Source organism: Homo sapiens, chromosome 19, assembly GCF_000001405.40.
Source record: "Homo sapiens chromosome 19, GRCh38.p14 Primary Assembly".
NCBI classification, from domain to species: Eukaryota; Metazoa; Chordata; class Mammalia; order Primates; family Hominidae; genus Homo; species Homo sapiens.
Genome location: NC_000019.10, coordinates 54,115,754 through 54,132,526, shown reverse-complemented (window position 1 = coordinate 54,132,526; position 16,773 = coordinate 54,115,754). Strand labels below are relative to the sequence as shown.

The 16,773-nt window shown below is 56.9% G+C and overlaps 1 protein-coding gene and 1 long non-coding RNA gene across 4 annotated transcripts; one reads left to right on the top strand and one right to left on the bottom strand.

Annotated features, from left to right (window-relative positions):
• On the bottom strand, nt 814-16,773 carry PRPF31 (pre-mRNA processing factor 31). Of its 3 annotated transcripts, none has more exons than XM_006723137.5 (14): nt 16,730-16,773; nt 14,072-14,286; nt 13,894-13,954; nt 10,584-10,667; nt 9,933-10,030; nt 8,967-9,073; nt 8,609-8,778; nt 7,871-8,028; nt 5,910-5,999; nt 4,327-4,454; nt 4,150-4,222; nt 3,342-3,470; nt 3,157-3,255; nt 814-1,220 (listed from the first exon to the last, which is right to left on the bottom strand). In XM_006723137.5, the coding sequence occupies exons 2-14, from the start codon at nt 14,246-14,248 to the stop codon at nt 1,095-1,097; spliced, it is 1,500 nt and encodes a 499-aa protein (XP_006723200.1). In that variant the 5' UTR covers nt 14,249-14,286; nt 16,730-16,773; the 3' UTR covers nt 814-1,094. The 3 variants fall into 3 exon arrangements, with proteins under 3 accessions (XP_006723200.1, NP_056444.3, XP_047294543.1); NM_015629.4 differs by having other exon boundaries at nt 14,072-14,256; XM_047438587.1 differs by lacking the exons at nt 814-1,220; nt 3,157-3,255; nt 3,342-3,470; nt 4,150-4,222 and having other exon boundaries at nt 4,332-4,454; nt 5,910-6,027; nt 14,072-14,256.
• On the top strand, nt 9,885-13,017 carry PRPF31-AS1 (PRPF31 antisense RNA 1). Its single transcript, NR_186329.1, has 4 exons — nt 9,885-10,035; nt 10,121-10,464; nt 10,612-10,691; nt 12,135-13,017. It is a non-coding gene; the product is annotated as a PRPF31 antisense RNA 1 (long non-coding RNA).

Sequence of the window (16,773 nt, the reverse complement as noted above, 5' to 3'; positions counted from 1 at the left end):
GGTGGCTCACACCTGTAATCCTGGCACTTTGGGAGGCTGAGGTGGGCATATCATGAGGTCAGGAGTTCGAGAACAGCCTGACCAACATGGCGAAACCCTGTCTCTACTAAAAACTATAAAAATTAGCGGGACATGGTGGCACATGCCTGTAATCCCAGCTACTCAGGAGGCTGAGGCAGGAGAATTGCTTGAACCCGGGAGGTAGAGGTTGCAGTGAGCCAAGATTGCACCACTGTACTCTAGCCTGGGCAACAGAGCGAGACTCCACCTCAGAAAAAAAAAAAAAATTTAAATTAACCAGGAGGCCAGCTGTGCTGGTTCATGCCTGTAATCCCAGCCCAGGAGTTTGAGGCTTTAGTGAGCTTCATCGCATCACTGTACTCCAACCTGGGCAACAGAGACCCCGTCTCTAAAAAACCCAATCATAACAGGACCTGGTTATAGGGCGCTGATGGCAAGTCCCATGCTAAGTGCTTTCTGTGCATTCTTTCCAGTCCTGGGCACCTGGGCGTAGGTGTGGAGGCTTGGAAAGGTGAGGAGGCTGGCCTGAGGTGGACAGCAATCCCGGTCGGCCTGCGCTGAGATCTGCGGCTGTTGGCAGCCACATCATTTGCTATCAAAGTGACTGCGGCTCTCCAGGGGGTTGGAGAGGGCTTTTTCCTTCTGGGATCCCATGACGAGAAAGTAACGGGGAAGGGAGTGGGCCTAGACACCGCTTGGACCCGAGGGCCAAGCTCTTTTCTCAAAGCTCCACAGCTCTGATTCTTCTAGTTGCCCCGGCTGTTTGAAAAATGATCACTCCCCAAGGACAGATCTTGACAATGTCCTTTTAATTGTACTCTTTTCAAAAAATCTCCTTTCTCAGTTAAAAAAGACAAGGCATGATGAAGACCTGCTCTAGCCCATACTGGGCGGTGATCTCGGTCCTGGGGGAGGCCAGGCCGGACTCTTCCAAGGCCTCCTCCCTGGGCAGTCCCAGCAATGGGGCCAGTGGCAGGGCAGGTTCTCCCTGCCAGAACCCGATCCTAGCCCTTCAGAAGGACTGGACCTCTGTGTCCCTTCAGTGGGAAGCCACCTTGGACACACGCAGTCATTCAGGTGGACATAAGGCCACTCTTCTCGCCCTTGACCTTGAGGAACTCAGCCATGCTGGAGAAATACTTCTGGTTGGCCTCAGCCACCTTCTTCTCTGCCGCCTGTGGGTTCACAATCTCCAGGCCCTGGGCAGGTGAGGGAGAGAGGATGATGGGTTAGGTGAGGAGAAGGCCCCAACTGTGACCCATCAGAGCCCCCCAGGCCCTTCCCCATGGCACTCAGGCCTTGGTGGGCATGAGACAGTTTGCCTGTCCCTGGAGTTGCCCTGTCTTGGGAGATTCTGACTCAGTGGGTCTAGAGGGAGAGGGTGGGGAGGAACCAGGGCGCCTGGATTTGTACGAAGTTCCTCAGGGGTGCTAAAAACAACCAATGCTTGAGGACAGCCAATCCTGCCCAGTTTCTGCATAAGGAAACTGAGTCCCTGGGGGACATGGCTGGCCCGAGGTCCTAGCACAAATCACACCAACACCACTGACGATCATAGTGGCAGCAATGGGAGCCAACACCTGGCTGGCACTTCCTAAATATTTTCAAGGCAACAGAGCGAGCCCCCGTCTCTAAAAATAATAACAGGACCCAGTCATTGGGCTCTAATGGTGAGCCCAGTGCCAAGTGCTTCCTGTGCGTTCTTTTCAGTCCTGAGCACCTCATGATGGAGGAGGGGAGGCTTGGAAAGGCACAGCCACTGGCCTCATCTTCTCAAAGAGGCCCTCCCTGGCTGCTCCGAAACGAGAGCCTCCCCTGTCCCACCTCCTACCTTCCACCTCCTCCCCTCCCTGGCATTTCTGCCTTCTTTTTTTTTTTTTTGAGACAGAGTCTGGCTCTGTCGCCCAGGCTGAAGTGCAGTGGCGCGATCTCGGCTCACTGCAAGCTCCGCCTCCCGGGTTCACGCCATTCTCCTGCCTCAGCCTCCCAAGTAGCTGGGACTACAGGCGCCCGCCACCACGCCCGGCTAAGTTTTTGTATTTTTAGTAGAGACGGGGTTTCACCGTGTTAGCCAGGATGGTCTCGATCTCCTGACCTCATGATCCACCTGCCTCGGCCTCCCAAAGTGCTGGGATTACAGGCGTGAGCCACCGCGCCCGGCCTGGCATTTCTGCCTTCTACTACACTGGGCATCTTACTGAGCTGTCTGCGCCCGGCCTGGCATTTCTGCCTTCTCCTACACTGGACATCTTACTGAGCTGTCTGCGCCCAGCCTGGCATTTCTGCCTTCTCCTACACTGGACATCTTACTGAGCTGTCTGCGCCCGGCCTGGCATTTCTGCCTTCTCCTACACTGGACATCTTACTGAGCTGTCTGCGCCCGGCCTGGCATTTCTGCCTTCTCCTACACTGGACATCTTACTGAGCTGTCTGCGCCCGGCCTGGCATTTCTGCCTTCTCCTACACTGGACATCTTACTGAGCTGTCTGCGCCCGGCCACCCACTGGCTCCAAGAAGGTAAGACTTGTCTCTCATTCGTTGCTTCATCCCCAGAGCCGGGAACACTGACAGAACTCAGCAGGTGCTGCGTAGACACCCGCTGACTGGGCAGATGAGCTCGCTGCTGTCTCGCCTCCGTGGTGCAGGCTCGCCCTGCTCTGTGGATGGTAAACCGAGGCTCCGACGATGCGGTGACTGCCATGCTCCACGCTGCTCACTGCTGACTGGCTGGGGCCTGGACCCACACTTGACATCCAAGCCCGCCTAGCCGGGAACTTTCTCGAGTGGGGTCCTGAGGTTACCTTAACCGTCCTGGCCGTTTTGAACTGGAGGGCCTGGAGGCTGAGCAGTGTTACCCGCTCACAGCCCGACAGAGGAACTGGGTGCCCTGAACACAGCTGTGGGCCTGGTTCTAAAGCAGTGCGTGCTCACGAGGACTGCTCAGCGCTGGGCTCTCGTCTCTGCTAACCTCTTCCTGTGTGCCAGGAGCTGTCTACGTCCTCTGCATACCTCGTCACCACACCCTCCACAACAGCCCCATGAGGAGACTCATCCTGGCCTTCTTCACAGGGGCAGAGGGCAAGGGGCCTTGCCAAGGTCTCAGGGCTGGGGACAGAGCCGGCCCAGGGGAGGTACCTGGAGTGGGGTGAAGGCCACGCTGGAGGCCGTGCCCGAGGAGCGGTCGCGGATGGTGGACTTCCCGCCATATACGACGCTCTGCTTCTGCAGGGTCCGCTGTGGGGAGGACAGGGAGGCTGCGATCTGGGCTCCCCCCACCTTGTGTCCCTCGGTCCCCAGCCCCACCTGGGTCTGGCCCATACCTGCAGCGTCTTGGAGATCCTGGCCTTGGTGGCCTCGTTTACCTGTGTCTGCCGCACACGCCCACTGCCCGACTTGCCCAGGTGGCCCAGGCTGAATCCCAGGTCCTCCTGGTAGGCGTCCTCCTCGATCTAGGGGGGAGAGGAGGCGCCCTGCAGTTCAGCGACCAGGCCCTGCCCTCCAGCCACCGAGGCACCCCCTCCACCAGCCCGAAGCCCAGCGGTCACCAGCCGGCCGGTCCCACGGGCACCTGCTCCGGTACCCACTCGGCCCGGCTGAGGCCTGGGGGCCCACACACGCGGGGGATGCTGGGGAGCCTGAGAGGGGCCCGGTCCCAGCACTGCTCTGTGAGCTCAGAGTTGGGAGGCCATTCCTTCCTTACTCGTGTGGGTCGGGGGATGTCAGGAACCAGAACAGGTTTAATAGGATGAGGTGGCCTCTGAGTTCGGTCCTGCAGGACCAAGGGGATGACGCTGGGATAACAGAGGAGACTGGCGGGGCCCAGGGACGGGGCGGCCGTGCAGCAGGGCACTAAGGAGCCTCTGGGCAGGGAGGAACCGGCCAAGGAGCCCGGGGCGATGGGAAGCCGCGGGGGCTCTAAGCAGCGGAGACACAGGCTCCAAGGGTCGCGAGGGTCGCTTTGGGGCTGAACGGATGGAAACGAGAATAGAGGCCGGGGGGGGGGAGGCTGGGGCAGCGCCCTAGACATGAGCCAGGGCCACAGGACGAGAGGAGGGGCGGTGGCAGGAGGCAGAGGGCGGTGGCGGCTGGCTGGCTGTGGGGTTGAGGAGGGCGCTCTGGGAGTCTGACCTCTCCGAAGCTCATACGGTTGGCCTGCTTCCGGATCTCCGTCAGCCCCAGCCGCTCCTTCATCTTGCGGTACCTGGGGACGGGTGGGTGGGCGGCGCCAGGGAGTCGGCTGGGAGGAGGACGCCGGCTTCTCCCCTCCATGACCCCCATGCCTACCGGACCCCCAGGGCCCCTCACCTGCGGCCGCCTCGCTTCTTCCGCTGTCCATCCAGGGGCGCAGGCAGCGGCTTCACCTGCTTCACAGGCGGCGGCTCCTGCCACTTGTCGAATTTGCGCTCGATCTCATCCTTCAGTTCGTAGCCCACCTGGGGAGGGCGAGGGGGAGGTCCTGCAGCTGCTCGCGTGGGCTGCCCACCCAGGCCTCCTCTGAGCGGGCCCCCCGAGTATCCACGTGCCTTAGTTAAATCAGCACCTAATGCTGCCTCACCGCCACCCCCTTTCTTTTTCTTCTTGGTGTTGACTTAGCACCGCTAGACGCAGGACAGAGTTCACCTGTTGACTGTCTCTTTGACCCGGCCCCAACAAGAATGTCCACGCCACGGGGCAGGGGTCCTGTCTGTGCTACTCACAGCTGCACCCCCACACCCAGACCAGGGGTGAGATGGGGAGAGGGAAAGGAGAAGGGGACACGGAACACCTGAACGCTGTGCCAGGCCGGGTGCTTGGCAAACGACAGTTCACAAGACAGAAAACGTCTCCTCTCCCGAGTACATCTACCAAGGAAGACAGAAGGTAACTGAATAATTACTTGAATAACATCCCCTGTTGCAGCGGGGACAGATCCTGGTGTGGAAGGCAAATTACGCCCCCACCAACACACACATGCCCAAAGAGGCCCATGTTCTAATTCCCAGAATCACAGGGCAAAAGGGACGTGAAGAGGTTAAGAAGGATTTTAAGGATTGTGAGCTGGGAAGACTATCCTGGACCATCTGAGTAGGCTCAGTATAGCCACAGGGGCCCTTAAAATAGAAGAGGGGAACAAAAACAGAGGCGGAGATATGAAGACAGAAGCAGAGTCAGAGAGAGGTCTGAGGGTGCTATGTGGCTGGCTCCGCAGACAGAGGGAGGGCCACGAGCTAAGGGGTGCCAGTGACCCCTAGAAGCTGGAAAAGACCAGGGAATGGATTATCCCTTGAATCCCCCAGAAGGAACGCTCCAGGATGACACCCTGACTTCAGCCCAGTGAAACTCATTTTGGACTTCTGACCTACAGGACCACAGATAATAAACCTGTACTGTTTTTTGTTTTTGTTTTTAGATGGAGTCTCGCTATGTCACCCAAGCTGGAGTGCAATGATGCAATCTCAGTTCACTGCAACCTCCGTCTCCCAGGTTCAAGCAATTCTCCTGCCTCAGCCTCCTGAGTAACTGGGATTACAGGTGCGTGCCACCACACCCGGCTAATTTTGGTAGAGATGGGGTTTCACCATGTTGGCCAGGCTGGTCTCAAACTCCTGACCTTGTGACCCGCCCACCCTGGCCTCCCAAAGTGCTGGGATTACAGGCGTGAGCTACTGCACCCGGCCACACCTGCACTGTTTTAAGCCAGTAGGTTCATGCTACCTTCCAACAGCAGACCTAGGAAACCCCACTGGGGAAGGGGGTGCCTGACCCCAGGGAGGGTGGGCAGAAGCACTGCCTCCGCCTTGGTAGGACAGTGCTCGCTGGGGTGGGCTCCCTGCTGAGGGTCTCCCTGCAGAGACACCCCAGGCCCAGAGGAAAAGACGCCCGGCCGCCCCTCACCTTTCCCTCCTCACCTTCCCTTCTGTGCTCTCGTGGAAACTGTCCACACGGGCTGCCAGTGTGCACTTGGCGGCCACCAGCCGGGCCGCTTTCCGCCGCAGATCCTGGAGCAACGGAAAACGGGGGTGGAATCTGTGTGAGACAGACAGACAGAGGTAACAGCAAAGCAACCGCGCGCGCTCCTCCTCTGGCTCTACCTGGGGTCCTGGAAGGGGGCTTTCCACCCTTGGGCTCTAGAGGTGTGTGCTCTCAGCTCCTACTTCACAGGAAGAGGGGATGAGGGCAGGGCACAGAGCCATGTCCCAGCTGATAAGTGGCCATCAGGTAAGGATGACAGTAAGGCACGCTGACAACGAGGACGGTGGTGACTGTGGAGACGCCGGGGGGAGTGCACTCGGCCTGGATGCCAGCCCCATGCTAAGCACGCCCCTCGGATCATCTCATCAAATATTCAAATATCGGGCTGGTGTGATCATTGCACCCCCTTTTCAGATGTGGAAACCAAGGCTTCAAGTCATGTGGCCAGGGAGACAGCCAGCAGGTGATGGAGCCAGGGTTCCAATCCAAACTGCAAACAGAGCCCAGCTGTCAGCCACAGTGAAGCGATGGCCAGCCCTGGCCTCCCTTACAGGCCTGTGGTGTCTACGGCCTGTGCCTGGACCGATGTGAGATGGCCAAATGAAGAGGCAGAGGCCTGGGTGACAAGACATCAGGCTCCCTGGGGCAGGTTTAACCCATATGCCCAGGGCTGTGAGGCGGTGGCGATGGCAGGGGTGCAGTGAGGCAGCTGGAGCCCCGAGCCCCAGGCCCACCCGTCCTGGGTTCTATCGCCCACTCTCTCTCCTCCCAGGATGGGGTGACCTGCCAGCCTCCCTGGGTGTGTTCCAGTAGCAGTGCCTGACCTAAAGGGTCGCAGAAAAGACCACAAAAAAAACCCCACACAGGGCTGGGGGGTGGGGCCAGGAAGTGCCTGCCCAGCCTTGGCCATCAGTGCTATTGTTCTCCCCATCCCTGGGGGAGGCCAGGCAGGGCACAGGGCCGTGAGCCTGAGGTAACTCGCCACAGTTGGACAGAGCAGGGTCTGGACCCAGGCCTGTCTGTCCCAGAACCTGTCTTGCTTGTTTTTTTTTTTTTTTGAGACAGAGTCTCACTCTGTCACCCAGGCTGGAGGGCAGTGGTATGATCTTAGCTCACTGCAACCTCCACCTCCTGGGTTCAAGCGATTCTCCTGCCTCAGCCTCCCAAGTAGCTGGGATTATAAGTGTGTGCCACTATACCCAGCTAGTTTTTTGTATTTTTGGTAGAGATGGGGTTTCACCATGTTGGCCAGGCTGGTCTCGAACACCTGACCTCAGGTGATCTGCCCGCCTCGGCCTCCCAAAGTGCTGGGATGACAGGCACGAGCCACTGCGCCCCGCCAGGCTAGCGGGCCTGTGTGTGTGCTGTCAGGCGTCGATGCTGGGATGGTGATGTGTCCCGACTGCAGGGAGAGGACCCGGGAAGCTCCGAGGTTGGTGACCTCTCCTGCCCCTCCTGTGTGTCTCTCCCCATGGCTGATGTGCAGCCCTCAGTGGATTCTGTGAGTCTTTCTAGTGAATGGTCAAACCTGAGGGTGGTCTTCGGAGCAGTTGCACGCTAACCCGACGCTGCTTGTCGTGAGCTAGGCCTGAACTGTAAGTGCTTCATGTGCACTGAGCCCTCGTCCCAACTCATGAAGCAGGCGCTGTGCTCCCATTTGATAGGGGAGGAGACTGAGGCACAGGGCGCTCATGCCTCTTGCCCACAGTCACCTGACTGGTGGGTGCTGGAGCTGGTCTGCTGCAGAGCCCTGGCTCTCACGTCCCATGCCACCCTGTTCCCAGCTCCTGAGTGCTACCGTCAGCTGGGCCAGATGGTGGGTGGCTGCTCAGGCTGTCTGGGCACAGCGGAAGGCTCCAGGGGGGCCGGGGGAGGGGCCATGACGCAGTGGGCTCACCGGTGGCAGGGACTGCACGATGTCACTGTGGTAGATGTAGCCGGTGTGGGGCAGCACTGAGGTAGACGAGAAGCCCGACAGCGTCTTGCGCTGGGCCCCGAGCAGCATGATGTTGCAGGCGGGCATCTTGGAGAGGTTGGTCAGGCCGCCGGCCACACCTGCGGTGGGAGGGAGGGAGGAAGGGGGGGCGGTCAGAAGAAAGCAGAGAGGTGGGGGTGAGTAAATCTGCCTGGGGGCTCGACGTGTGCTGGGCACCTTTACATGAAGTTCTGGTTGGATTCCTCGATGGCCCTGCCAGGCGGGCGACCTGGCCCATTCCGCAAGGGGCAGATGCAAAGGAGGCTCAGAGAGGGAGGGCAGCTGGCCTGGGGGTGCAGGGAGGAGGCCCCCAACAGGAAGCTGACCACCACGTTTGTGCTAAGCCACACTAACGCCGTTCCAGGGATGGCTGTGTTTTGGAACCATTTTCACCAAACCAGGAGCTCCCTGACAACAGGGCCTGGGTGTGGTCATCTCTGGGTTTCCGGCACAGGGGAGGGAGAAGGAGCTGTGGGTGAGTGTTTTTCCCACAGATGAGGCTTTGCTGTGTGCCAGGCTGGCTGACCTCTGTGATGTCCAGGGAGACGGGGTGCTGAGGTCCAGGTGCCAAAGCCCCCATTCTACAGAAAAGGATGTAGCTTTCCCAAGGTCACAGTGTCAGCAGACCCCCGCTCCATGGGACCCAGCCCGGGGACTCACCCATGATCTTGGCGGCCGTGGATGCCCCGATAATGATGGACAGGTTGGGTGCGATGAAGGACATCCGGGACTCCACATACTCGTAGATGCGGTGCTTGGAGGCGTTCAGCTCCAGCGCCATGTCGCAGGCCTCCTCCAGCCGCTCCAGCTCCTCCTCCGACAGCTGCTGCCTGCAGGGGCGGGTGGGCCCAGCCTCCTGGGTCTCCCGCCTGCCTGGTGTGCCCAGCCCCAGCCCTCTCGGTTCTGTGTGTGTGTGTGCATGTGTGTATGTGTGTGTGCGTGTGTACACCTGCGTGTGTAGCTCCAGCCTAATCCCCAATCCCATTAGGGCCCGGCGCCTCCCTCGAAGCGGACATACCCCTGGGTGGTGGAGGCGGTGACGCTGACGACCATGATGGTGGCATTGGTGAGGATCTGCTGCAGGTTCTCATTGTTCTTGCACTTGTCCAGGCTGTTGCCCAGCTCCTGGGGGCGAGCAGAGAAGATAGGGGAGGCTCGGGAACTCAGGAAGGCTCGAGAACCTCTCTTGCTCAGCACCTCCTCAGGTCTCTTCTTAGGGACACTGGGACAGTCAGGGTCTCTGCACTGGGGGCCTCTCCTGCCTCCACCGCCTGAAGCATCCACACCATTCCTGCCTCCACCACGTCAAGCATCCACACCATCTGCCCTGCTTTCGCTGACCTGGAAACGGAGCCCGGGCAGAGTGGCGTCTGGAAAGACTGTGGCCTCACAAGCCTCTGGCCTGCGTCAAGTCGGAGTGCAAATCCGCGGCCTCGCTTCCCTGCAGGGGCTTCCCCACCGCCATCCTAATCCTTTCCTGGACATGCGTGGGGACCTCCTCCTCTCCCCGCCCTCACGCACACCTGCCCCTCTTTTCCGAAACCCTTCCTTGGCTTTCTCCTAAGACCCAAAGGCTGGACGTGATCCGACCTCTTCCCCGTCCCCTCCTTCCCCGCCTCACTTCCTCCCCACTTGTTCCCTCTCCAGCTCTCTGCACTTAGACGTCTCTCTCCCCCAAATCTCCGTGTGCCTGCCCTGTGTCAACCTTCGGATGTCAACTCCAATGCCACCGGCTCCAACCACAGCGGGAGCAGCGTGGGTCAGGCCAGCGGGGAAGCCCTCTCGGGAGACTGGGGTTGGAGGGGAGCCCTGAGAAAGTCCTGTCCAGGCTCCGTCCCTCCCACGCTGGGCAGAGCAGACCACTGAGCCCTCGTCCACTCCTCTCCATCGTCTCCAGACCCTCAGGCCTCTGGGAGGGGGTCCGAGAGTGAGCCCCGCCTGCCCCTTCACGCCAGCAGAAGCACCCCACCTTCTCTGCGCTCACCTTGACCGTGCGGATGTAATCCAGTGCATTGGGGACCAAGGACTCCAGTTCAGGGAATCTCTTTGAGTACTTATCCCGGATGAACTTATGGATGATGTCTAGGGTAAACGGGACAGGAGGTTGTCGGGTGAGATGGAAGGTAGACTCTGCTGGTTGGCCCTAACACCCATGTCCCCTTCTTCCTTTAGTAACTGAAGCCCTGGCTTGTGGCCTGGCACACGGGCACCAGCATACAGCCTTTCTCAGCCGTCCTTACCGCTAGGTGTGACCAGGGGAATTAGTTCTGGTCTGTAAAACGTGAGCTGCAGTGACATGTTCTTAAAGAAAAGAAGCGCCTTGCTGGTGGGAATGCGGAGGTGATGGCTGGAGGTGGGGCAGTCACCTCGCACCGTGAGGCAGGTGGCCGACCAACAGGATGGAAAGAGCCGGGGCCCTACAGGCAGCCAAGCGGCCACACCATCCCCGAGTGCTCCTCAGACTCATACGCGAGAGAACGCACTTCCTTCTTATTTCAGCCACTCTGTGACAGCAGGTCAACCTCGATCTGAGCTTGGGCTTAGGGGCAGGACCCTGGGAAAGGCCAGTGGGGAAGGGAGAGGGGGCGTGAGGGACGTCACACGGGGCTGTCTCCGCCTGCCCCCCAGCACTCACTCAGCTCGTTTTCGATCTCCACGGTCAGGTTGTTGGCATCCACGATGACGCGGTATTCAGGCGCGGCCTCCACTGGTCCCATCACTGTGAGGACACGGAGGCATGGGTGTGAGTATCTAAATCCCTACCCCCTCTCGGGTCCCGCAGCTGGAGGAGGCGGAGGATGAAGTTGGGAGGGGTCAGGAAGGAGGGGCTGAAGAGTAAACCAGGGACAGGCTGATGTCTGCAGACATCCCTGAACTTGTGTTCCTGCCTTCAATCCCTCTCCCTCCACACCAGTCTAGACTTGACCCCATCTACCCCAGAACTGACCGTGTGAAACCTCCTACGGCTCCCCACAGCCCCAAGGCTAATGACCGAGTCCTCAGACTGACATTCAGGGCCTCCCCAACTCCGGAAGCTCTGCAGGGACCAGTGCTGTGCCTGCGTTGGCTGTACCCACAGCCGAGTACCCAGGACAGCACCTGGCACACAGGGAGTTCCCCCGTTCCTGTTTGCTGACTCAGCAGCTCTGCAGTCTGGCCTCCCGCCCTTCCCGCCCCATCCTCTCACCACACCTCATTTTATTCCACTCCAGCCATAAAGGAGTGATCACAGTGCCCCAGACACCCACTCCTCCTAGCCTTTTTTTTTTTTTTTTGAGACATAATTTCGCTCTGGTTGCCCAGGCTAGAGTATAGTGGCATGATCTCAGCTCACTGCAACCTCCGCCTCCTGGGTTCAAGCGATTCTCCTGCCTCAGCCTCCTGAGTAGCTGGGATTACAGGCATGTGCCACCATGCCCGGCTAATTTTTTTTGTTTGTTTGTATTTTTAGTAGAGACGGGGTTTCACCATGTTGGGCAGGCTGGTCTCGAACTCCCGACCTCAGGTGATCCATCTGCCTTGACCACCCAAAGTGCTGGGATGACAGGCGTGAGCCACCGCGCCAGACCCCTCCTGGCCTCTGCATGTGCTGCTCCCTCTCCCCAGAGCATCCCTTACCCCACGTCTGTTTCTGGAAAACGCTTCTTTGTGCTTTAGTAATAAGAGGTCAGGCACAGTGGCTCATACCTGTAATCCCAGCACTTTGGGAGGCTGAGGCAGGAGAACTGCTTGAGCCCAGGAGTTGGAGAGCAACCTGGGCGACATAGGGAGACCCCATCTCTACACATAATTAAAGAAAAAAAATTAGCCAGGCATGGTGGTGTACACCTGTGGTCCCAGCTGCCTGGGAGGCTGAGGCAGGAACGCCTGAGCCCACAAGGTCAAGGCTGCAGTGAGCTGGGATCGTGCCACTGCATTCTGGCCTGGGTGACAGAGTGAGACCCTGTCTCAAAAAACAAACAAACAAAAAGATGTTGTGTTTAAAAGTCATGCAAATACTAACTGCCTGATGTCACAGCCAGTAGAAGGCAGAGCTCAGATCTGACACCAGGCAGGGCGGCGTCAGAGTCTGCACTCCTAACCCTGATGCTCAAATGGCTCTTTAAGTCCTTAAGACTCAGGCAGCGACTCAGAATCCTTCCCTCCCTTTCTGGAAGGATCAGACGCCTCCTCTGTGTACCCGCAGCACTTGTGCACCTCCAGTAAACAGGGACTGCCACAGCTTGTGAGATGTTTCACCTCTGCCTCCTCAACCAGACACCGGGTGTGACGGGGTCTGACTCCATCCCTGAGCCTGGCCTGACATCAGGAAATGTCACTTTCTGTGTCCCATAACCCTCTGGAGGGAGAAATTCCTTGGCCTGGCATCTGGAACTCTGCAGGATTCTCTCTCCGGATATCTGAGGCCCCGGGCCTGCCGCTGTCTTTCCCTGGGCCCCCTTCTCCCTTTCTTTGCCTGGCACATGCATTCATGCTCTACAGTCCAATTCAGCTATCGATTCTTCCTGACACCTGGGGCAGGGTCAGCCAGTCCCTCCTGTGGCTCCGGTGTCCCCAGCTTGGTACCACCACTGATAGCTGTCTGGAACCTGGCCTGCCTCTTCCACTAGACCTTGAGTACTTTGAGAGCAAAGACCTGGGCGATTCAACTGGGTGCCCAGGTAAACGTTAAAGAAAGCAAGCAGTGAGTCTCCCGAAACTCTGCCCTCTCACTACACTTCTTTCCCCAGAAACCTCCTATGGCTTCCTGTCATCAACAAATTCCATTCAAGAAGAATGGGAAGGCTGGGCGTAGTGGCTCATGCCTGTAATCCCAGCACTTTGGGAGGCCGAGGTGGGCGGATTACTTGAGGTCAGGAGTTCGAGACTAGCCTGGTCAACATGGTGAAACCCCATCTCTACTAAAAAATACAAAATAGCCAGGCATGGTGTTGCATACCTGTAATCCCAGCTATACATAAGGCTGAGGGAGGAGAATCGCTTGAACCCGGGAGGTGGAGGTTGCAATGAGCCAAGAACACATCACTGCACTCCAGCCTGGGCGACAGAGGGAGACTCTATCTCAAGGAAAAAAAAAAAAGAATAGGAATGGTAACAGGACTGCCCTCTTAAGAGTGAGTCTGAGCACTCATGAGATAAGCTAGTGTTCTCTCAATTTGGGCATGAGAAAAGGTTTTAGGTTATTTTTTTTTTTTTTGAGACGGAGTCTTGCTCTGTCGCCCAGGCTGGAGTGCAGTGGCACGATCTCGGCTCACTGCAAGCTCCGCCTCCCAGGTTCACGCCATTCTCCCGCCTCAGCCTCCTGAGTAGCTGGGACTACAGGCACCCGCCACCACGCCTGGCTAATTTTTTGTATTTTTAGTAGAGACGGGGTGTCACCGTGTTAGCCAGGATGGTCTCGATCTCCTGAACTCATGATCCACCTGCCTCCGCCTCCCAAAGTGCTGGGATTACAGGCGTGAGCCACGGCGCCCGGCCTTAGGTGGTTCCTAAATAATTATATATCTATTTTTATACAGTGACTTTGTCTTTGCCAAATGATACCAGTTTTCCATTCATGGTAGCAATTTGCTTCCTTCTCAGATAAATTTAAGAAAAAAAGTCCTAGACTCAAAGAATATGTTAAGCAAATAATAGGATAAGCGGCTTATAGATGTGGCAAAAACCCTGTAACCGGTCATGTGAATCAGTGAAGTCTGGGAAACCTCAAGCTGAGTCCTATCATGATCAGTAAGCTCAGCACACAGGAAGGACTTAAGAAGCATGAGCTTTACAATGCAATATATATTTAGTGGAAAAGGGAACGGGTTGGGGTGAAACAAAAAAAAAAGAAGGCTCTGGAAAAGGCTGAGAAGGAGATATACCCAGCCACAAGCAGCCAGGGAGCCAGGGGGCCTGGCAGGAGAGACAGGAGATGGGGAGGGGCACAGAGTGGGAGGAAGCACCTTCTGAAGCTTTGGCTTGCTTGCTGATATACTCCTCAATCTTCATCATAATCTCAGCAAACTGTAGGAAAGGAGAAGACAGTCAGAATCCAGCACTCTTCAAAAAGAAGCCTGTATCACCCCCTTCTGGGAGATTCTGTCTAGAGCCCCCTGCTAGGAACACCTCTTGTCCTCTTACCATCTTACTATCCCATAGCTTGGCGATGGTCTTGACTGAATCCCCGGAAAGATCCAGCTGTGTCTCCTCCTGCACATCCTCGATCGCTGGCTCCTCTTCTTCCTCCCCATAGCTTCCTCCTTCCTCCTCTTCTGCTGCCTCTTCGAGATCAGCTAAGAGCTCATCTGCCAGAGACATCCCGAGGCCTGGGGAGGGACAGCAGCGTTCCCTAAAAACTTGCCCCGACAAAGTCCCTCCTTATTACTGAGCGATGATTCTCCCCCAGAAGACCCTGGTCCTTCTTTATCAACCCCACTAGCATGCAGGCTCCACGACAACAGGTGCTTTAGTTTGTTTTGTTCACTGGCGAGTCTCCAGCTCCGACCTGTGCAAGACGCAGCACACCCCTATGACCGCCACCTTGCTAAGACTTACTGGAACCAAGTGGTGTAGATTCCAAATGCATTTGCAAACTTTCTTATTCCTTTCTTGCCTTTAGCCTTGAAAACATACTTTGAAATTCTTTGTTTCCCTCCTTTCCCACTAGATACTGTCTTGCACTGCTGGCTTATCTATGTGCTTACTTAGAAGTTCCAGGGGCTAATCTTTATTTATTTATTTTTTAAAGATGGAGTCTGGCTCTGACACCCAGGTTGGAGTGCAGTGGCGCAGTCTTGGCTCACTTGCAACCTCCACCTCCTGGGTTCAAGCGATTCTCCTGCCTCAGCCTCCTGAGTAGCTGGGACTACAGGCACCTGCCACCATGCCCAGCTAATTTTTTTTTTTTTTTTTTGTAGAGTCAAGGTTTCACTATGTAAGCCAGGCTGGTCTTGAACTCTTGACCTCAAGTGAGCGACCCACCTTGGCCTCCCAAACTGTTGGGATTACAGGCGTAAGCCACCGCGCCTCGCCGCAGGGGCTAATCTTGAAACAAACTAGGTATGGAAACCCAGCTGCAAAACTCCAGAGATCACCTCAAGGCGATCAATCTACAACGTGGCCATTGTTGACTTGACACCAGCCCATGCTCCAGGTGGCCCGTGACTCAAGACAGCCTTCGGAGCAAGACACACATACCTTGTACCCAGCACCACTCCTGTATGCCTCCCATTCAAAGTTCCCCTTTTTAAGCCCCTCTCCCCAGCCTAAAGCTTGAAATGGTCTTCTAAAGACATTAGCTTGGCCATTTCTCATCTGCGAGCATTTGATCAGTAAAGCTGCTTTACTTTCACCACCCCCCACTTCCTCTGCCTCTGAGTAGCAGAAACTTGAGTTGGTTACATTATCGGTCTCTTCCCGCCTCCAGGTCTTTGTACAGGAGTCCCTTGTAACTAAAGTGGCCCTTTCCTTCACTTTGTTTTTTCTTTTCTTTTCTTTTTTTTGAGACCATGTCTTGCTCTGTCACCTAGGCTGCAGTGCAGTGGCGCCATCATAGCTCACGGCAGCCTCGATCACCTGGGCTCAAGCGATTCTCCCGCCTCAGCCTCCCGATAGCTGAGATGACAGGCACGCACCAGCACGCCCGGCTAATTTTTAAATTTTTCTGTAGAGACAGGGTCTCACTGTGTTGCTCAGGCTGGTCTCAAACTCCTGGGCTCAAGCGATCCTTTCGCCTGGGCCACCCAAAGTGCTGGGATTACAGGAGTGAGCCATGGCGTCTGGCTCTCCTCACTTCTTAGTAGCCCAGCATCTCCTCAGCCTTCAGCTCTCACGTTCCACCTCCCTGACCCACACGCCCCACTCTAGACTACAGGAGGTTGCTTTGTGATAACGTGTCCCGCACGCTCTGCGTGTCTACAGTAAGGCACTTCACACATTTGTGATTAATGAAGTAATTATTTGATAAAGCCTGTCTGCCAGGCATCAACCAAAGCTCTAAGAGGGTAGCGAACAATTTTTGCTCCTTCCACATCCCCAGGGCCACACCATGGTAGGCGCATATTAAGACTTTTGGGTAAACAGGCTGTAAAAGGCCGGGAGCGGTGGCTCATGCCTGTAATCCCAGCACTTTGGGAGGCCCAGGCGGGTGGATCATCTGAGGTCAGGAGTTGGAGACCAGCCTGGCCAACATAGTGAAACCCCGTCTCTACTAAAAATACAAAAAACTAGCCGGGCGTGGTGGTGCGCGCCTGTAATCCCAGCTACTCGGGAGGCTGAGGCAGGAGAATCGCTTGAATCCGGGAGGCGGAGGTTGCAGTGAACCGAGATCGCGCCACTGCACTCCAGCCTGGGCAACAAGAGCGAAACTCCGTCTCAGACAAAACAAACAAACAACTGGCCAGGCGCGGTGGATCATGCCTGTAATCACAGCACTTTGGGAGGCCGAGGCGGGCGGATCACGAGATCAGGAGTTCGAGACCAGCCTGACCAACATGGGGAAACCCCGTCTCTACTAAAAATACAAAAATTAGTCAGGGGTGGTGGCGGGCGCCTGTAATCCCAGCTACTCTGGAGGCTGAGGCAGAAGAATCGTTTGAACCCGGGAGACGGAGGTTGCAATGAGCCGAGATCGCGCCACTGCTCTCCAACCTGGGCAACAGAACGAGACTCCGTCTCAAAACAAACAAACAACAAAAAAACAAAAACCAAGCTGTAAAGACCCGCCTTTTTCCTCACACACTTCTTCTCCCAGACCCAGGAGCCCAGCCTCCCGCTCCCCGTGGTCCCCATCACACTCACCTCTCCTCTCCGCGCACCACTGTTTCTAGCGTTAGTCGCTCACC

Coding starts and splice junctions, on each gene's coding strand:
- PRPF31 (XM_006723137.5), bottom strand. CDS start 14,248: ATGTCTCTGGCAGATGAGCTCTTAGCTGATCTCGAAGAGGCAGCAGAA. Junction 4,223..4,326: donor AAGAAGCGAGGCGGCCGCAG/GTGAGGGGCCCT, acceptor ACCCGTCCCCAG/GTACCGCAAGATGAAGGAGC. Junction 3,256..3,341: donor GGATCTCCAAGACGCTGCAG/GTATGGGCCAGA, acceptor TCCTCCCCACAG/CGGACCCTGCAGAAGCAGAG.